General features: G+C 41.2%; 1 annotated feature.

Moving 5' to 3' along the window:
* Positions 6814–6963: an enhancer, noted in NCBI's record as "active region_25844". NCBI's record gives its function as "activates an Ori minimal core promoter by ATAC-STARR-seq in GM12878 lymphoblastoid cells {active_cell/tissue: GM12878}" and the evidence as "EXISTENCE:reporter gene assay evidence [ECO:0000049][PMID:35858748]".

A 22769-nucleotide genomic window follows, 5' to 3' on the forward strand; every position in this document is an offset into this window, starting at 1 on the left:
ATACCAAGCATTGAATCTCACTTGGTTCCTGCGCAAATCAGACTCATTTCCTGCACACCCAAATGACGTACAGTATGAGAATTTGCTGGTGCAGTGCTTGCTTCCTCACAGATACTCAAATGCTGGTTTTCTTTCTTCCTTCACACTCCCTCACAGAGTTCACTGTCAAGTAAGGGAGACAGGCATAATTAAATATGTATGCAAGAAAAGGAAGGGGACTTTAGAGATAATGGGACTTCATTTGTGGAGGAAGAGAGACACGAGAAAGCAAATAGCCTTGAGGAAGAATGGATAGAAACAAGTTCACACTACAATATTTGCCAGGATCTTAGTAATAACTACATTTAGATTTTGGTAAATCACTTTTACAAAAGTTGCTTTGTCTTGAGAGAGAACTGAGGCTGACAGATTTCACAACATGGGCTACATTCTTTTCTGCACACTTGCTCTAACCTTTGTACTCTTCATTTTGCTGTTAATTCATCCAGTGACGTTTTTATTTCAGACATCATATTTTTCAGTTCTAGAATTTTTATTTGATTCTTTTGACCGTTTCTATTCCTCTGCCTAGATTTTCTATCTTGTTATTCATTGTTAACATATTTTTTTCACTACTGAGCATAATTATAAATAGCTGCTTCATAACATTTGTCTGCTAATTACAATATATAAATAATTTCAGGGTTGGTCTCAGTTGATATTCCTTCTCTCCTGAAAATGTGTTCCATCTTTTTGTTTGCTTGTAACTTGGGTAATTTTGCATTGTATCCTGGACATTATGAATATAAAGTTATGAAGATTCTATGTTCCATTATTTAGCCTCAATGAGGAAAAAAATTAACTGCAAACTGTTTATTTTGGGTGGTTGCTTTTGACTCGACTAAAATATTTTGTTATCATTTCAGCTTTTAGTCTACACTCTGCATGTGTGGCTTAGGGGTCAGCCAGAGCTGAGAGCAGACAGAAGTTGGAAATCCTCCCTCGGACTCTTTCCCTTCCTGCATTCCCTTTCTCTTCCCAGCAGCCATGGTGGCCCTGGATTCAGCTTTCCCTTCCACAGGCCAGAGAGATTGTGATTTTTTTTCCACCAATGCCCTGCCACCCTGCAGGCTGCTCTCACTACACTTGGGTGTAAGTGAAAAGCTGTCCCTATAACTTCCCTCCTCTGAGCACGGACCACCCCACTCCTGGGTCTGCCTGCTCTTCTCACTCTCATATGTCTTCAAGAAGCTGCTTGTATTACGTCCAAAGCTTACAATTGGTATGTCCAGGAGGCTCAGTCTGGTAGGATCTTACTCTGTCCTTACCAGCAGCAGAAGTAATCTGTCTTTGCGGATCAAAGATGGATTTGAGCTCTGGATCTGAACCAACGAACACACAATGACCTATGAATTTTTTGGACAGGAACATTGAAGATGGCATGAGCTATCCAGTGGAGACACACATCCATATGCATGTGCATTTTTATATATTTTTATGAAATGCATGACATGTCTTAAAAAGCCATTTATGTAGTGTGTAGGTGTGAGTCTATGAAAGAATTGGAAATGAATGTATGCCTCCTTTCACTTTGTTGTTTAGTATTCCTTAGGAAGAAGCAATATTGAATAAAATTTTAACTAATTATCCAAGATTATGAGTCTGATATTGCAGTATGTGGGGAAAGGGTTTGGGTAGAAGGAGAACTTGGGCTCCAGCAGGGGCTCTGGATTGAATATGCAGGTCCTATCCCTTAAGACTCAGTAGATACTATGACCATTGTATTTTTCTATAATCACAGCCATACCCTCAGATGTAAGCAGAATGAGCAAAGCTCTTTGCCATTGCACTAAAAATATCTAGGTAATTACAATAACCCTGCCATTGAAAAAGCAAGCAATTATGAAGATATCTTTTACTGCAACATTTACATTGCAGAATATTGGACAGAATCTAAATTTCCAACAACACAACAATAGGGAATTGGGTAAATGAATGATAACAAAGTCATACAATAAAATATTTTTCAGTTATAAAAATGATGCTGTAGAAGGGCAGGCAATAACCCGGAGAGGGATTAAAGCATATTAAGTGAAACAGCAAGTTATAAAACATGTACACTTGATTAAGTTCTTGCTGGGAAATATCCACTTATCATCTCTTCCCCTAGTCTGCCATTAATCATTTGCCTGTTCAAGGAGAGACACCAAACTGCTAGAACTGGTTATCTCAATATAGAAAGATGATGGGTCGTTTTAAGTTTTATTTTTCTTTTGCTTATTTTTAACTCTGTAGTATTTTTCTATGTTGGATATCTCTTACTTTTAAAATAAGAAAGATGTTATGTACTATCATGAGAGAAAGCGAGGGTAAAAACTAGCATGTGCTGGCATGCTAGGGAGAGGGTGTCTGTGAGATGGCAGAGAGAGCATTCATTCAGCACCAGGCTAGTGGCTTAGGCCTCTGTCACCCAAACTCTGGTGAGAACTCTAGCTTTTTTTCTTTTTTTTTTTTTTAATGGAGTCTTGCACTGTCACCTGGGCTGGAGCGCAATGGCACTATCATGGCTCACTGCAACCTCCGACTCCCGGGTTCAAGTGATCCTCCTGCCTCGGCCTCTTGAGTAGCTGGGATTACAGGTGCCTGCCACCACGCCTGGGTAATTTTTTGTATTTTTAGTAGAGACAAGGTTTCACTATGTTGGCTAGGCTGGTCTCAAACTCCTGACCTCGTGATCCACCCACCTTGGCCTCCCAAAGTGCTGGGATTACAAGCGTGAGCCACCGTGCCCGGCTCGAACTCTAGTTTTCAACACTTCTAAACTCCAGTAATTCAAGTCTTGGTTCTGGATTGAGGACCGGTTCTTTTGATTATGAGGTGTCTGCAAATGGCTTCTACCTGTAACTTGAAAGCAGAACATACCTATGTTGACCCCCCACCTTGGGGCCCACCTTCCTAAAACCACGTAGTTATGGTGTAAAAAGGTTTTTGCTTTTTGTGAGAAGTTGGACCCCAGATGATATACCAGGCAACATCTATCACTTTTATGACTGATGAAGACTATTTTGCAAAATATATACATGTATGCGTGTAGCAAACTTCTACTCTAGAATGCATATACGAGCTAATTGCCAGACATCATTTATTAGTGTGCTTAGTAGTGGTTTTTTTCTTGACACTTAGTAGTGGCTTTTTTCTTAACACTTGGAAAAGTTTTCCCAATTACATTACCTGCCCCTGGCCCCTGGCATATGTAATATAAAAATAAATGTATACTTGAGCATACTATAACTTACATTTAGGTAAAACTAATAATTGAGATTTTATTATTTTGAGAAATAATTTTTTATGTTTATGGCTTTATTCCTTCATGTTAAAAACAATATATTCAAAATTACTTTAAAGTCGGTTTTCAAGTCTTTTCATTTATATATCTATTTCATTTATTCACTGTATCGGTCAGGATACTGGAAAAAACCAAAACTTAACTAATCTAGTTCAGTGAAAGAGTTTAATGAATGGATGATTTATTGAGATGCAGGTGGGGTTGAAGGAACCAAAAGGATGTGAAGACATCCAGGAACTAGCAATGTAGGAAGCTGTTAACAGGCTTAGACCCCGTAGGGGAGCCATATATGGCTTTCCTCTACCTTCCTAGGTTCTTTGGCTAGGCTATGAATTAAATTGATATAAGGCCAATTAACAGGAGAAAAAAACATTTTAATTATGTACATATGCCTGGAGTTTCACAAAATATGAGACTGAAAGATGGGTCAGATGATTGAAGCTTCTGTAGCATCCTAAGCTACAGAAGGAATAGGGACATGGGGCTTCTGGGGCTTGGCAGCACACAGGGCAGGGGAGGGTGGAGAAGGAAATGTGTGGTGCGTAGAGGGTGTCTTGTTCTGCAGACGAAACCTCTCTCGGGTAATAACAGCCGTCTCTGAGCAGCCCTCAGAGGAAGCGATGACAGTCTGTCTGGGCATGGTGTCAACCTCAAGTCTCTCCTGTGTTCCCCAGGGAGGGAGGTCATGACAACTGAACTCCTTCTGAAGGAAGTTCAGAGAAAGCCCTTCCCTGTACTTGCTGTTCCTCAAGTGCCCCCAGTGGGAACTAACCAGCATACCAAGCAGCACATTTCAGGGTGATATTTCCTGAACTCCTTCAACCTAAAGGGAAAAAAGGAGGAAATAATATTCCTGGAACTCAGTGAGAGGTGGGGCCATGGAGGCGGGGCCACCATAGAAGCTGTAGCTGTGGAGGGCACAGCCATGTCAGAGCAACATGGAGGAGAGGAAATGGGAAGAGAAACCTCATGTGTCTCTCCTTCCACCTTCCAACCTCCAATGGCCTGTAGACAGTGGAAAGCCACTCAGCAGTAGAGCTAAATAAGGAGCCCCGGGGGTCAGGACAGAGGTGGGCAAAGGAAGGTGGAGAGCAGAGAATGAATGGTGAGGGGAAAAATGAAAATAATCAGTTAATTCATTCAACAAATATTTTAAAAAGGATTGCTATGTTCCAGACACTGGGCTAAGTATACTTGACTCGACAGGCTTTGTTTGGGGTTTGTAAGTAGATCTATTGGGCACAGCCCTAGAGGCAAATTCTTTCTTCTTGAATATTATTTCTATTTACAGCATTTCAATAGCAATAGCTCTGTGCGGATTAGACTGCCAATGAAGTTCACTACCTTTTGCTTCTGCTTGCTGTTCTACATAATGGCACATTGTGAAAAGCCGCAAGTATAGAGCGGGCACGACTTCTTATAATTAAGTATACGGGTAAAAGCACAGCTGAATTTGGAATTTTGCATAAGGGAGTTTTCTAGGCTTTTTTTTGGCTTTAAAGAAAAAGCACAAATAAGGAGGCAGAATACAGGAGAGGAGACAGGAGTCCGGAACAAAAGCAAATAACCTAATGAGCTATTCAAAGGCAAATTCACAAACTGCGCTTCTCGAAGCCTTAATAAGAAGGATGGAGGCCATCAAATCAGGTGAGGAGTTCATATTATTACTGAGAATGTGCTGTCTGGAGAAAGGCAATGGAGTATCACCAAAGAAGCAGCATTCTGGTAAAAAAAAAAAAAAAATTCTAGATCAGAAATCATAGAACATGTTTCTTTGTTCAGAGCTTCATAACTCAGTCTGCGGAGTGGATAATGAGTGTGTAGTTCCCTATTCTACCCTCTGGCAACTTTGAAGGCTGTTCCTTTTCTTTTTAAGTACTGCCCCATCCTCTCCCATCATAGAAGGCAAGCAGAAGAACTTCAAACAGTACAAGTGTATCTTATAGCACACGCTAGATTAGTTCCTTTACTACTTTATATAAACTGATATTTCTTAATGAATGGATAAGGCTTGAGAATTGGAATATCCGCCTCTGCTTGAGGTCCTGCTGCTGTGTAAACTGTGGACAAGTCACTTAACTCCTCATTTCCCTTGATTCATTCAGTCATTCAATTACCTCATCTGTGAAGTGAGGGTAGTGTGTAGGGATCAACTGGAACACAGAGGGGGCTTTAGGAAGCCAAGAATCACATCAACTTGTATAGAAAATAGTCTGTGTAGTCCAGACGCAGTAGCTCAAGCCTGTAATCCTAGCACTCTGGGAGGCTGAGGTGGGTGGATCACCTGACGTCAGGAATTTGAGACCAGGCTGGCCAACATGGTGAAATCGCATCTCTACTAAAAATACAAAAATTAGCCAGGCGTGGTGGCAGGTGCCTATAATCCCAGCTACTGGGGAGGCTGAGGCAGGAGAATCGCTTGAACCCAGGAGGCGGTGGTTGCAGTGAGCTGAGATTGTGCCACTTTACTCCAGCCTGGGTGACAGAGTGAAATTCCGTCTCCTCTCAACAACAACAACAACAATAAAAAAAAAAAAAAAAAAAAAAAAAAGAAAAGAAAAGAAAATGGTCTCTGTGTGTATCTGCTTGTTGATGTGGATCAGCACATTTTACCAGATTCTCCAAGACTTTTGTGGCCCCTAAAAAGAATTATACAACTCAGAACCAAAATAGATTACTCAAATCCTATTTTAAACTAAAAAATTCTACAACTTTTGGTTTAGATTACAATTTTAGAACTGCCTCCCTCAAGTCCTTTTCTTGAACATCGATTGATAGTGCCTTTGCCAACTCTGGGTTTAGGTTCCTATCCTCTTCCCAGTTTTAATGATCTATAAACAAATAAAGCAGTGTCTTAACGAGGAGATGTCATCAACTATATTCAAAGCATTCTAATTTAGAAGGCCATTTTTTATGGTTTCATGAATATGCCCTATTTTATCTGTTTTAAAAATCATGGTTTAATATTTGTTTTTTTATAACGTGCAAGGAACTACATACAGCTTGAGATAGTTAATACGGTTTCAGACCAGGAGAAGATCTTGCAGTAGTATTGGCCAAAAGACCTTTCTGAGATGGTGGAAATGTTCCATGACTCTCTGCTGTCCAATATGGTGGCCATTAGCCACAGCTGGCCATTGTGCACTTAAAATGTGGCTAGTGCAACTAAGGAATTAAATTTCTAATTTTATTTACTATTAATTTATTTAAAATTAAATAGTCGCAGGTGGCAAATGACTATCACATTGGACAACACAGCCTTAGAGAATGTCCCACATGATCCATATTAGGCACAGGAAATCCCATAACACCTTCTAAAGCAGGCTTTCTCAACAATGATGCTATTGACATTTTAGGCCAGATAATTCTTTGTTGAGCGGGGAGGATAGTCCTGTGTATTGTAAGCTATTTAGGGGCATTCAAACCTTTACCTACTAGATTTCAGTAGCACCTTGGCCCCCTATGCCCGCCCCACCAGTTGTGACAATGTTTGCAGACATTTCCAAATGTCTCCTGCAGGGCATAGATGCCCCAAGTTGAGAGTAAGTTGTCCTTGAAATTACTCAGGGATTAGGCACCCTGCCAGATAGACCACTTTTATGCTAGGTTCTTGAAATTATTAGGAGGTTATTTCATACATCTTGCTGCTCATAATTTCTTCTCCTTGCTAGTCTTTATACTTGGTAATTGTGGTAAGCTGCTGAGGAGGAAGGTGAAAATAAACAAGCTAGTTGAAATGTGTCAGTGTCAACAGGAAACACATCAATAGTGGTTAAGAGTGTGAGCACTGAAACTACAGAGAATGGGTTCAGTTTCTGGCTCTGTCAAGAACTAGCTGTGTGATCATTTGCAAGTTAATTCAGTTCTCTGTTTCTCAGTTTTCCTGTTTGTAAAATAGAAATGGTATAACCAGAGTTGTTTTAGGATTAAATGCAATAATGCCTATAAAATGCTTGGCTATTATTATTAGCAAAAATAATAACAGCAGCACCCTACTTTCTTGTTGTCCTAATTGTTGTTAAATATAGTATCTCATGTGACCTTCCCAGTTATTTTTTTGTTTTTATTTTTTTGAGACAAGGTCTCACTCTGTTCCCAGGGCTGGAGTGCAGTGGCTTGATCACAACTCACAGTAGCCTTGACCTGCCGGGCTCAGGCGATTTTCCCACTTCAGCCTCCCGAGTAGTTGAGACTACCAGTGCATGTCTTCGTGCCCAGCTAATTTTTTGTATTCTTTTTTGTAGAGATGGGATTTCACCATGTTGCCCAGGCCGATCTCAAGCTCCTGGGCTTGAGCGATCTGCCTGCCTTGTTGTTCCAAAGTGCTGGGATTTACAGGAGTGAGCCACTGTGCCCGGCCCTCATAATTTTGTAGATATTGTTATTCGCATTTGATGAGTGAAAAATGTTGATGCTCATACCGCTTAAGTGATGTGGTCAAGGGCCAGCTTGGTTGGTAAGAATGTCAGTTCACCCAGTTCCAATTTGAATGTTCTTTCTGCCAGAGAGAAAGACCTCCGCACTATCACGTGATCTTACCTTCTGTGTCTGTGATGTTCAGTCTGAGTGGTCCAGGTAGGGGGAGCCTACGTATTATAGGAAGATCCGAGGGTGCAAAGGGCTGAGAAGCCACCTACCAAGATTTCAGCCTGAAACACTAAAGCCAGGGGTTCTCAGAAGCCTGTGGAAAGCTGCTGTGAAGCTCCCTCTGCACTGGGGGCTGGATAAAGCCACCAATGCAGGATAAAGGCCTCTGCTAGGTTCCTCACTGGGGTTGGCATGTGGGTCCTCCTGGGAATGGCATTCTGGGAAATGTAGTTCCTGCTTTGCTTCTGAGGTGCAGAGGAGACCTAGACAGGGCTGGTGGTGATGCTGAGTTGGCACCTGAAAACCCAGCACACGTCCAAGAGAGTCATTCCATCACCAGGAGATTAGAGGAGGCAGGGTGGTGTGTGGGAAAGGCCTTGGGTCCAAGTGCCTCCTGTGGCACCTACGCGCCAATTGGGCAAGTCACTCCACCCCTCAGGCACTTTGCCTATCAGGATCAAATAATATAAGACACTGGCTGATTCTCACATCGTCTGTAACACAGTGGGCACTCAGTTAAGGTTGTTCTTGCACCTCCAGCTACAAACAGACAAGTGTATTCTGAGGGCTATTTGTCCGGAGAGCTCTTGAATATTTTGACACCAATGCTCTTAGAGCAGAGATTGCCAGTTGCCCCCATCCCACTCTTCTTTCCGCCATAGCAATAGAGGCCCCATGGCAGTTCTGAGGAAGTCACATTCTGGCCTCTTTTGAAGCTTGGTGCAGCCACATCCTCACCTGTGTCTGTAGCCAGAAGTGATGCATGCAATGTCCAGGCTTGCCTTTGAAAGGAAATGGATTTGTGCTGCCTCCCTGCTCCCTCTTTCTGCTTGTTGTGATGGGCCGTACTGATGCGAGCAGGGCAGCCAAGCATCAAGCCAGGAGGAATTGGGCTCCTTGTCCCTCTGGGATTGCCGCACCAGCCAGGACAGCTTGAGCTCAGACTATCAGGTAAGTGAAAAACAAACTTATCTTGTCGCAGCCCCTGAGGTCTCTTTGTGATAACAGCTTGGCCTGTATTCTAACCATATATCATCAGATTCAAAAACTCCTACATAATTGCTCAATTATGATATTAAGGCAGCTTTCTGTAGGGGTGTGAAAGCTTGCTTGAGACAGATTTCAAGCCAGAATGGCCAATATCTCACTTAGCCAGCTAACTTTATTTTGAGAGACAGAGCCTGAAAATATTGGGTGAGCAAAACCAGTGTCGAAGTTAGGGAGAAGCATAAACGTCAGGCATGGACTCTGAAGGGAGCTGAGATGCCCCCCCAGGGGAAGCAGGCAGCCCTCTAACGCTGCAAGGTACACTGCTCACGGTGACAGGAAGGGTGATGAGAAATGCTTCAGATGTTTAAGTGACATCTGAATCCAGTGACATTTCCTGGCTTCCATGAGCACTGCTACTATTAAAAACAAACATATTTGACGGATGGAGCAATGCTTCCCGCAGCTGATGCCTGGGCGATCTGTGTTTATCAGAGCTGCATGCATGCTTCTACCAATAATCATAATTTAAAGATTCAAAGTGATAAAAGCATCACAATGAAATATCTGCCTGCCTTCACTGCAGGGCTGGCTTCACAGACACAAAGAAATGGAAGGTATCGCCACAGTTGTGGGGATCTCGGCATACATGTTTATGGTGCCATTTACTACGTCGTAACCTCCTCAGTAGTATTGATGTCCTTTCTCTAGACCGTGAGTCCTCTGTGAATTACTTGCCTTTGCACCTTCTGCTCCTAGAATGATCAATAAATATCTAAATGAATGAGTCTAGTTCAGCCTTCTCACTTGGCAGTGATTTGTTCAAAGTCAAAATTAATTAACTGCAGAAAAAAATCTGACTCCTTTTTCTCTGGTAAGCTGAGAATGACGGTTTTCTCCAGGCCTAGATGACTTGGGCAAATCTCTTATTAGGATTCCTATAACCCAGATCCACATAAGCACACAAACACAGAAAACCACACACCTATATACACAAACATGCACGTAGATACACACAAACACCCAAGCACATGAGCAAAAACAAAACCACACAGGCTTTTACACAAAACACGCACGCATAATCACATGGGTTATACATGTGAATTTCAGATACAAAATGAGCAATTTTTTAGTACAGATAAGCCCTAAATAGGCATGCGTAAATACACACGGACATACTTATACTAAAAGAATGATTTGCTGAAATAATTTACCTGCAATTCGAATTAAATTGTGCACCCTGTATTTTTATTTGCCAAATCTGGCAACTGTAACACAAACACACATTTAGATTCACATGCACAGACCCATGCAGAAACACACAAGCACAGACACCCAACGATACACACAAACACATACACACCCAAGACCTAGTTTCTTTTAACAGATCCTGCCAAGACCAAACTGGCCATTAGAATCGTAGTTCTAGCTTTCCCCTGGAGAGCTGGGGAGATGCCAAGGTGAGAGGGAGTGATGAAAGGACTGGTGTGGCTTGGGAAGGAGGCAGGAGGATGAATCTCTGCTCACAGTGGTCCTGTGTGGTGGGGCAAAGGGGAGCCCCCTTCTGCAGGCAGGGATGTGAGGAGTTGCTTTAGAGAAAGGATACCTCCCCCAAGACACACACAGACACATATACACACACATGCACAATCTTACTTCAGCATTTGGAATCACATCAGTCACCGTGAGCAATTTCTTCTGCATGATTTTGTAAACAGGTTCAAGCTCCAGAGAGAAGCTTTTCCCTCTAGAAATCTGTGATGCTGAGTTTACAAGTATCCTTGGCAATGAATGATGGGGTGGGCTTGGATGAAATTCTACCTCAGTTTAGGGAGCTACCGTGTAGCCCCGAGTTACAGAGCTGGTGGGGAATTCCTGACTCTACTTTCCTTGCTGCCCCTCACCCCATGACCCTTTTCCAAGACACAGCCACAAATATTGACTAAGTTCACCTCAGAACAGTCTCAATCTGCCTTTTGCTCTTCATTCCCATGGTCATGGCGCTCCTTAGACCCCTGTGATCTTTCACCTGGATGTTGACCTCAGCCTCTTCCCCCTCACTTCCAACCTGCCAACAAATTTATCTTCTGAGATGTTACCAGAATGAGGCGTCCAGTGTACAGGTTTGATCATGGTTCTCTCTCTCTTAAAATCCTTTGATGGAGGTCAGTTTTCTCCACAATGAACATGAGCATGGCCTCTAAGACCCTTCAATATCAGAACCCATTCCAACCTCAGTTCCCATCTTTTCACCTCAGACATTCTGTCTGGCCACAACAAAATGAATTCATTTTCCCACAAACATCCAGCCAATTACATGGCTTAGCCTCTCTCAGCATTCTCTAGGCATGGAGCATCCTTCACCGCCTCCCTTGCCTAGTGAATTAATTATCCTTCAGATCTACTTCAAATATCCTCTCCAACCCCATCCCACACTGCCTCCCAGTCCTGTGGAATTAGACACTCACTCCTCTGTGCACCCACAGCGTTTGCATACACTTCTTTCTCACTTACCATTATAGTTATTTATTGACATTTGCAAGTGCCTCTCCCCCACAAGCTTGTGAGCTCGTCTGGGGCTGTGGTTAATTCTTATTCATATATGAACCACCAGTGTCCAAGATCGTGCCTGCCACAGAAGACGGTCTTAGGAAGGGATGTTGTTGGTAGAATTTTACTGGTAGCAATGTGCATTGGAGTTCATGGAAGAGGATTTGGAATCAAAGAGACCAAGATTCAAATCCAGCAAACTCCATTTATTAGCTCCAAATTGCATAATATCTCTATAGCAAGGCAGAATAATGCCCCGTCCCATCAAAGATGTCCATGTTCTAATTCTTGGAACCTGTGAATATGTTGCATACATATCAGAGAGAAATTTTGATTGCAGATCAAATTAAGGTTGCTAATCGGCTGACCTTAAGGTAGGGGGCATATCCCAGGTTATCTAGGTGGGCCCAAAGTCATCTCAAATTTCCTTATAAGTGAGAGATGGAGACAGAATTGAGGATTAGAGTGATGCGATGTGAGGACTCAACCCACCATTTCTGGTTTGAAGATGGAACGGGTCACAGGCCAAGCAATGTGGGCCGCCTCTAGAAAGCTGGAAATGATACAGACACAGAGTCTCCCCAGAGAGCCTCCAGAAAGGGATGCAGCCCTGTCAACATCTTGATTTTAGTCTGGTAAATTCCATTGCAGACTTTTGACCTCCAGAATTATAAATGAATGAATTTGTGTCTTAAGACATTATGTCAGAGGTAATTTGTTACAACAGTGATAGGAAATGTATACCAGCACTAAACCTGTCCCTTCTTTGGCAAGGAAGCCAGTAATGGTCCCAGTTACCCAGGATGGTGGTGAGAACCATGTAAACTAAGCATGTGGTGCCTTGGCACAGTGCTTTGCACAGGATAAAGGCAGTGGTCAAAGCAGCAGCTACAGTAGTAGTAGTTCTAGGAATAATAATATTATTGCCATTTAAGGTAGTTGGGGAGGTCAGTTGGGAGTTCAAAGAAATACCCTATAAGAAGCAATCTGAGTCTCGCAGGAGAGGGCAGTGGGTCCCAGGGAAGACATGAAGGTGGCCATACTGACTAGGGGGATTCAGGAAAAGGAGGTGGGTGTCAACTGTTGAAGATACCCCCGCTCTGTCACAGAGAAGCTGCACAAGCCTAGGTGAGTTAGGGAGCTTGGTCCCATCCCTTCCCTCCCCTTTGAAACATCCTGGCCAATCCTATACTGTTTTTTGTGTGTTTGTTTTGTTTTATTTTTATTTTTTATTTTTATTTGAGATGGAATCTTGCTCTGTTGCCCTGGCTGGAGTACAATGGCATGATCTCAGCTCACTGCAACCTCTGCTTCCCGGATTCAAGTGATTCTCCTGCCTCAGCCTCCCAAGTGGCTGGTATTACAGATGCCCACCACCATGCCCAGCTAATTTTTGTATTTTTAGTAGAGACAGGGTTTCACCATGTTGGCCAGGCTGGTCTCGAACTCCCGACCTCAGGTGATCCACCAGCCTGGTCTCCCAATGTGCTGGGATTACAGACGTCAGCCACCAAGCCCGGCCTCCTGTACCCTGTACCACTTTATAATGTTGGCTGGGACAAGTGGCCAGGGACAGAGTGGGGACAGGTCAGCATTCTGAGAGTCCTGAGGACAAGGCCTCTAGGCCCTTTTCCTTCCATTCTGGATGTCTCCTGGAGACTCCAGAGAAGCCCATCTTCACCAGTGTAGCTGAGACCTTTGGCTAAGCAAGAACTGCTTTTGAGGCTGGGAACCTGGGTTTAGATCAGGTGAATCTGTTTACTAGCAGATGCCCCTGGACAAGGCAGCTTCTCAGAGCCTGGAAGACGATGGGACCAGATCTATGGTTTTCAGTCTATGTTTCTCAGGGGATTCCTCAGGGGCTGTCATTGTGGGGCCAGGTCCAAAGAGAGTCCTTGGGCTCCTGCTTGCCAATGTCACCCCAGCACCTCTGCGTTTGCCTTTTATGGAGATCAGAATTTCACACAGGCTTTGGTTTGGGCATTGGGGGAGTTGTGGGAAAACAAAAAACAAACAAACAAACAAACAAACAAACAGCTTTGAAAACCACCAGAGAGATCATCATTTCCAGCTTAAAGTTGAATGATATTTGGCCCAAGCACACAATGAACATAGGTTTTATGATGGGAGAGGCAGGAAGAATCTTTTGAGGGGTTGATTAACACTGCCTCATGTCAGAGAACAGAAGGTCTATTATTAGGAGAAAACAGACTTTCTTTTCAACTGGCTTCTGTCTGGAGGTCCCGCCATCTGGTGGAGAATCCTCCCTAGAATGTGGACAGCTGTGTGTAGACCCACCTGCCGTGGGAGTAACAATGGCTCAGGCCAGTCCTCCTTCCCCACCATGTGGGAGAGCTGGCAGGTTACCAATGCCTGGCCTCCCACATCCGGCAGCTCCAGGCCTGTGTCCTGCCCAGGTGTGTTTCCCATTTAGAAAGTGAGATCTGGAGCTCTGATTCTCAGCCCTGACTGTACATCTGATCACCCAGAGAGTTTAAAAAGTTTGATGCTCAGGTCTTCAAGTTTCAGACTTATAAAATCATTATCTCTGGGTATGGGACAGGAGGGTGGGCTATCCAGCAAGAGACTGCTGACTCCCCGAGGGGCCAAGCCTGCAGCCCCGGAGATGCCCTGGAACCCTCTCTGCAATGGCAAAACATGAACTATATCACCACTCCCCTTCTCACTCCAAATTCTAAAATGACTATGGCTGTGATTTTGCAGGGTGTCATCGGCTACGCAACTCATCATAGCAGCCTGTAGCTCAACAGGTGAAAAGTCTCCCTTCATTTCTCAATGATTTTTCTCCTATGATCATTTTACTGGAGAAGTTGTTCAGCTTGGTCTTTTGAGACAGCTCAGGATCTTACATATGATATGTTTCATGGTTGTCATAAAGATGAATGCCCTTGAAGCCTGCCTTTATTTGAGTGAGAGGTGCTGAGTACGTTGAATAACAATAAACCACATTACATATTGTTATTATTGCTCAGCAGGAAAAGAACTATCTGTACAGGGAAATAAGCCAAGTTTCATTAGTCAGCTCACCTATCATGCATTTGAAATAAACCTGGTGTGTATTCTTCTTAATATGACATCTGAGATTAGAAGTCGGTGTCAAAGTCAAACACCAGGAGAAAACAAAGACAAACACAGCTCTCTGGAAGGCTCCATTCTCATTAGAGTTTGCCCAAACATTTGGATGACTTGGTTATTTTTTAGCTCGTGGCTTTACAGATAAGCTAACTTTTAACCAGACAAAAACACATCATGTGTCAACCTTTGGACGTGACTTTACAGATGGGCAGGGGTGTTTAAGTCCAGGTAGACTCTGCAGATACTCCTTAGCTGAGTTTTTAGTAGACTGTTCAGCTCCCAGTGTCACAGTACTTTTGTCTTCTTAGCCATAGAAAGCTTTGTTAATTTGGTCTTGCTGTCTTTTCCCATCTTCTGTCTTGGCTCATTTGGAGGAGTTACTGAGCAATAGAGTGGATGAAAAGAGCAAGGAAAGGAGGCAATGAGGGAGGTGGAGGTGGAGGTTGAAGAGAAAGAACAATTGACAAGCCCCTGCTGTAGTTCACATTCATGCTTTGCAGAAGTTAATCCCATTTGAAATCTCATAATAGCCCTGCAAGGTATCCCCATTCTCACAAGCGGGATCTTGCTGAACCCTAAGCTCCAGGAGCAAATCTGGTTTTGCTCCTCAGTGTACAAGAGGTCCTCAAATAAAATTGTTTTGTTCAATGTTATTTTGTTATAACATTGATGAGAACAAAATCTGATTCTTGGCCAGGGCCACTGTATATGTGGAGTTGGCACATTCTCCCCATGCCTGCGTGGATTTTCTCCAGGGCCTCAGGTTTCCTCCCGCATCCCAAAGATGTGCACGTCAAGTACTTTGACGTGTCTCTTTTGTCCCAGTCTGATGGAGTGTGGATGCGTGTGAGTGCACCCTGCAATGGGGATGGCGCCCTGTCCGGGGCGGGTTCCTGTCTGGTGCCCTGAGCTGCCAGGAGAGGCTCCAGCCACCTGAGACCCGGAACTGGAATATGTGGGTAAATAATTATCTACTTGTTTTTATGAACCTTTCTTAGATGTACATTTCACTCACATTCATTTCAGTGTTTAATATTAGAAGTGTTATTAATATCCCTTAATAAGAAGTTTGGGGATATTTTTGTGACCAGAAATATGCCATAGGAACTTCACTCCTGTTTATCTAACTTAGGCTGTGCTAAAATTGATTTTGTTGTATGTTGTTTCACTTAAAATCACAGTTTCCAAGAACCTATTGATGACATTAAGTGAGGACCTAGCCCATCAGGGGAGGTTGAATGACTTGCTGAGGGCAGTAGAGCCAGCGATAGAGCCAGGCTTTGACCCCTGGCCTGTCTGATGCTCAAAGCACTTTGCACATTGGTCCACAGTGACTGTGATCCAAACATCTGTGCTTCCCAGCCAGGACTTTGCACTGGACAGTCATGGGCATCTGTTTTGAGCTGTGGAGAATTAGGCCACAGGTGCTCCTTCTGAGCTGCAAGGCTTTACTCAGCCGAGTGTGTCTGTGTGCATTTTCAAGAGCCTGTCTTACTGTGGATGAGAATGGAAACTATGGCAGTGGAATGCCCTCCTTCTGCTTGCCTGCCCCCTTCACCAAGCACACATCTGTACTATAGTGGTATTTCCGCCTCTGTAAGAGCATGTGACATCTCAGTACAAGTTGAACTGAGTCTTGACTCCCAGTGTTTTGAGGCATTCCCAGCTGCTACCAAGTGGTGCAAGATGAAGGTGGGGCAGGCTCAGCAGATGGGAAGATACTGCCAGAGAGGCTACCCTATTGCTTCGCATATGTTTGTGTGTTTTATTACCTTTATTATCTCACAAGTAACCAGTGCAGATTGAGAGAAAGTTAGGCAATATAACTGAATTCAGAAATCATGAACAAATAGACAATTATGCAATATGTAGCCAAAGAAAGATTAAAAATATAGAAAGGAAGTCAATGCCGGCTCTTTGCATGGAGCTCTAGGCTACATTGAGTTAATTTTTAATGAAAAGAGAAAATCTAGAATAACTCAATAATTCTCAGCTTTTTCCTCCATGATGTATGTATCTTTTTTTCATTAGTAAACTATGGTCCTGTCCTGAAACCCTAAAATAAAAATATAGTGAGTAATTTTTTAAATAAATAGATACATTGCCAACAATGCCACAATTTAGAGTAATCACACTAGAGATTTGGAGGAATATAATTTCAGGTGTGTGTGTGTATGTGTGTGTGCAGGTGCATGTGTGTGCATCTACTCTTACAAGTATGGCATAAAAGTATATACTGCATATTTTTAACTGAAATATTACTTTGTTGTAGAAATACAATTATGCAATCTTTACAAGTTTTTCTCTTTAAGAACATGACATGGGCAGCCTTGCCATTTATTTTTCTTCTTTTATGCCTCTCAGGAAAAAAATTTAGTTTCTTTAGAAAAGTCTAACACATTTCTGATTAAATTTAATCTTCAGAATTCTGTTTGTGTGGTTATTGTGTAGCTTTTCTGTTTTATTGTCTAACAGGTTAATGATGGTGTAGTTGATTTGTAGGGAGGCTATGTAACTTTTTTATTATTTATAACTATCTTACTGAACTCTCCTATGAATTCTAATATTTTTTTCAGGCAATTCTCATATGTTTATATTTTCTGAAAATAGTGGTAAATTGTCTCTAATAGTTATAGTTCTTATTAAATTTTCTATTCAATTGCATATCTTAGCACTCTCAGAACAAGATTGCCCGATAGATGCAGGTGATGGTGGGCACGTGTATTTCATGCTTGATTACGTGTCTCTACTGTTTTAGTGTTAAGCATAATGCCAAGTATTTGATCTAGAAATAAATCTTCATGATCTTTGACAAGATTTTTTTATTTTAAAACTCAAGAATGAAAACTGAATTTTATCAAATGTCTTTGGGCATCTAATAGGGTGATTTTATGTTTTTGCCCCCTCCTTTATTCTGTTAATGTGATAGTTACATTAATGATTTCTGACGAGAACATATTTTTCAGATAAATTCCAGAGTGGTATGGGGGATGAGTAGGTGAGAAGGAATCAGAGGGGAAGTGGGAGCTGGAATAAGGACTACATTTTTCCAGACGAAGGAAGGGTCATCTCCGGAGAGTACTGGCCTTAGAAGGTAATGAAGTTGGAGGAAGAATATCACCATGGTGTCAGAAACCCCTCAACGGGATTCCTCATGTGTGATATGTTTATATTTTTAGTAAAGTAACCAGGTAAAACAAATTTCAGAACATTCTAAAAATAAATAAGGAAAATGATTTTTTTGTGGAAAAACGAGAAGAGGAAAAGGCTTACAGTTTGTTGTGACCGGCCCTAGATGGCTGGTGAGAGGCAGTGAGGAGGCAGAAGCCCAAATAAATAAGGCCTGGGATTTACAAGAACTGCTTCGTGTTGCTCCATATTCAGGACTGGAGTCCAGATTCCTGAGAAACAGGGAAGCCCTAACTGATGTGTGGGTTACAGAGAGATTTTCTAATGTTAAGCCATCCTTGCATTTCACAGCTAATTTTGCTTGCTCATGGTATATTATTCTATTGTGACCCTGCTAGGTTCAGTTTGCTAATATTGTATTAACAGTATTTATGCCTATAATCCTAAGATTGATCTTAAGTTTTTATTTTTTGGTATTATTTTTTCCTCAGGTTTTGGTATAGAGATTATATTTTCCTTATAAAAAGAATTTAGAGCGTTTAATTCTTTCTACTTTTTGAAATGATTTAAATAAAACTAGACTATTTGTATTTGAAGATTTGATAGAAATTTCCTATAAAATTGCCGGGCACGGTGGCTCACGCCTGTAATCCCAGCACTTTGGGAGGCCGAGGCGGACAGATCACCTGAGGTCAAGACCAGCCTGGCCAACATAATGAAACCCCGTTTCTACTAAAAATACAAAAAAATTAGCTGGGCGTGGTGGCTCATGCCTGTAATTCCAGCTATTTGAGAGGCTGAGGCAGGAGAATTGCTTGAACCCAGGAGGCGGAAGTTGCAGTGAGCAGAGATCACACCACTGCACTCCAGTGTGGGCAACAAGAGCAAGACTCGGTCTCAAAAAAAAAAGAAAAAAAAATTCCTATAAAATAAAATTATCTGGACTTTGGGATAGACGTAGTTCAATTACCTTTTTGTTTGTTTTTTCAGTTTCTCTACTGGTTACTGTTCTATGCAAGTTTTCTGCCTTTTCTTGGAATCTATATTTTTCTAGAAAACAATTTAATTCATATTTTGAAATTCACTGGCATATCACTTTATCTAAATTCTTTTGCCGTGTTTTCAATCACATGCCGTGTCTGCAGTTAATGGTTTGTTTCTCATTCCTAATGTATTTGTTTATTTCTTTCTTTGAGGGAATGGAGATAGGAGGTAAAATTTCCAGATTTGTCCCCTTTAGAATCAGGGTATGGGAGTGGGAGGGATTAAGAGAAATGAGTAGTGGTTTTATCAATACAGTAGAAGCTCTCTTAATCCAATATCCACTGACTCACTGCATTTATCAAATTTTTTCACTCACTGTAAAATGTACCAACTGACCTGATGTATCTAAAATGTTCACAATCATGACGTAAGTTTTTCATAGGTACCTCTCCCTCTCTCCCCAGCTGAGTGGTAGGATTATAAAACGGTTTATGCCAGTTGTGGAGGTTATTGCAACTATATAATCTACTTACATATTATATTAACCAATGAATATGAATTTAGAAAAAGTTGTTTCCTAGAAAACTAGGTTGAATATTTTGGAAAGTCTTCATATTTTTTTAAATTGCTTAAATATTGCTGTTAAGTTAGATGTGGAAGAGACAACTGTCAAAATCAGGAAAGCAGCCAGATGCATACCTGTAATCCCAGCTACTCAGGATGCTAAGGATGGAAGATCACTTGAACTCAGGAGCTTGAGACCATACTGGGCAATACAGTGAGACCCCATCTCAAAATAAATGAGTGAATGAATGAATAAAATCTGGGGAAAAGCTTCAAGACACTAGGATTTAGTTTTCATATTACTTCTCAAGGGGTTGTTTATTTCTCTTCTCATTTTAAAGAAATTGAAAATAACAGTTATAGAAGATGCACTATGGGAATGGTTTATGTGAAAAAGATGATGGCACATTCCAATCGGTGGGCCCCATGCAAAGAAGAGACTGCCACAAAAAGTGAAGAATGACTGCACGTTTATGTTTTTGGTTTAAATAAAGTACATGTTAATTTGTATGATTCCTGGCTTTCTTTGAATTTTTCAGTTAACTTCTCCTAACTGTGGTAGAAAGAGTTTCTACTGGACATTAACTACTTTTGTTTGTTAATTCTTTGTGTTTACCGTCCTATGGTTTAATTTGTCCTGTTTTTCTAGCGTCTGGAATTGAATGATTAGTGCCATGGACATTTCTCATTTTTTTTCTGTCCAGTGTCCTCTTCTTTAGAAAACTGTTCTTTCGGGGCATAGTGGCTCACAGCTATAATCCCAGCACTTTGGGAGGCCGAGGCGGGTAGATCACGAGGTCAGGAGATCGAGACCATCCTGGCTAACACGGTGAAAACACGTCTCTACTAAAAAATACAAAAAATTAGCCGGGCGTGTTGGTGGGTGCCTGTAGTCCCAGCTGCTCGGGAGGCTGAGGCAGGAGAGTGGTGTGAACCCGGGAGGCTGAGGTTGCAGTGAGCCAAGATCGTGCCACTGCACTCCAGCCTGGGCGACAGAGCGAGACTCCGTCTCAAAAAAAAAAAGGAAAACTGTTCTTTCCTCTTCCACCTGTGATTCCACTGGGCCCCCAGTAATGGGATCCTGGCTCACCTTGGATAGATCACCTAAGATAACTCATTCAGACATTCTCTCCTGGGAAGCTGAATCTGGTGTGGAGACATTCAGGGATGGATGGCAGTTGTAACTGCGTCATCCTAATTTCAGCATCTTAAAGGGAAGGTCCATGAGTTCCTAATATTTAGTTCTGACTTCCCTTTCTTTCCTCCTTTGATTCTGTGGCATATTCCAATGGAAAAATTGGAGTCTCCCAATGGACAGCTCATGGAGGGCTGGAGAATCCTTTGAATACATTCCAGGATCAGCTTTTTAGTTTTTGGGGTTTTTTTTTTTTTTTTTTTTGGCAGCTAAAGAAACTTAACAGAAGCACTACATTTATTTATTCTAAATCTTGCTTCTTTAATAATGTAAGTATTAAATGCTATGAATTTCCCCCAAGTACAATTTTCACTAGAATGTGGCATAATTATCATTAATATTGTCTAAGTAGCTTATAATTGCACTTTTGATTTATTCTTTGATTCCAGAGTTATTTAGGGAGAAATAGTTTTTGAGTTCCTTCCAAACTCAAAAACATGAGGGTTTTTTTCTGTTTACTATATTTTTTTTATTTTCCTATATTCTGACTCTATCACCAGCACCTAGCGTATTGCTTGGCAAATAATAGGTTCTCATTAAATATTGAATGAATGAATGAATGAATGAAGGAATGAAGGAATCAGAGAATGAGACTATAGAATTTCTACCCTTGAATTTGTTTATGTCTTTTTAGTCAATTTTGACAAAGTTTTGTAAATATCTCGGGGAAATTTTTAAAAATGTATTTTTTGTGGGGTAAACAGCTGTATATCTATTTGTTAAAACAAACATATGTTTCAGAGCCTCTAAATCTTTCTGTATTTTTGTTTCAATTCCTGGTTCATAAGAAAACTGCATAAGACCTTCCATCAGGTTTTAAACATTGCCAAAAGTAGAGATGATTATTTCTCTGAGCTAGACTTTGAATCTTCTAAAAGCCATGAGATGGAGGCTTGATGGCTTGAAAGACATAGCCCAACCAACACAAAACAAGGATAAACAACCTTTAGATGTTACCCAGATTGGTTTTGTTCCTCTGCTAAAGAAGAACAATAACATTTTTGTTTCTGTTCCTCCAATCTCAAACTCCCATGTCAGTCTAATTTCCTCCAATAAAAAGGGAAGCACAAGAAGTTTGCCTTGTCACAAAGGGTCAAGGTTGATGGGTTTTACTAGGTGGCTGGTCCCCAGTGGGTGGTGGTACCTCCTCTCTTATTACTTCTGCTGGAGTGTAATTAGGGTGCCCAAGGATTACATCAAGTCACAATGCTATTAGATTTGAAATGCTAAGGGACCATCTTTATTTGTTTGTTTTTCTTTTTCCCTAATAGAAACATTAAACAGCAAGCAAGCATCATTTCCAGACAGAGAGAGTGCTCAGAGAAATCTTGCAAACATTACATGGTCTCCCTGGGAAGGAATATGGAGCTTGGGAAAACTGCCAGTTTATTATATTAATTCCATTTGTTTCCAATAAGAATGATGGTGTTTCACATGGCAATACTAAAGAGCCCCAGCCCATTAAAAGAGGTTTTCCAGGGGTTTTTCTACCGCATATCACAGCTGTGGTCTTTGCTTTTCTTGTCTTTCTGTTTTTGTTTATTTCTGGGCTAAGGCTGGAAGATCACTTGAGCCCAGGGCTATGTTATTTGACATGTAAAGGTGTATGACTGCTATATTTTCACTGTGAATTATATTCCTATCCACTAAAAATAAGCCTCTTTGTTCTTTTTAATGCTCTTGCCTTAAATTCTACCTTGTCAGACAATTTTGCCACCCTAAACTTTTTGTGTATTTATGTTCACTTGGTAGACTTCTCCCTTCCTTTTTCTCTTAAAACTTTCTGATTGTTTGCTATTAGATGCATCTCTTGTTTAAAAAAATCTTCTTTTATTTGAGGATCTTTTACTTACAAGAATGTAGCTACTTATATTCATTTTTATCTCATTCATGTCCTCCCTAATAATGTAATATTTTTCTTTTTCTGCAGTAATATATGCTTTTCTACTCTTAACGTTGTATATTTGTGTTCTATCTCCTTTGTTTTATTAGTTAGCTTTGTCAAAATTGAATCTCCTTATTTTGGTTATTAACTGTTCTGTTTCTAATTTATGAATTTTAGTTTACTGTATACACATTCATTTTCTTGGGTCCATCAATATTGGTAAAATCATGGGTCATGTGTTTTTATTCTTTTTGAAATGTCTTTGATACAGTTTTGGGCATAGCCCATTAAAATGTGGATTCATTCTAGTCTTTATAATCACTTTCTGAATCATCCTTAATTGCAGTTTTAATTTCTTCTTTGATTTCAGTGTTACTTAGCTGCGTGTTTTTCAGTTTCTAAGTAGATTTAAAAAAAAAAAAGAATTGGCAATTAGTTTGCAGTTTTATTGCATTTTGGTGAAAAAT

This window comes from Homo sapiens, chromosome 7, assembly GCF_000001405.40.
Source record: "Homo sapiens chromosome 7, GRCh38.p14 Primary Assembly".
Lineage (NCBI taxonomy): Eukaryota > Metazoa > Chordata > Mammalia > Primates > Hominidae > Homo > Homo sapiens.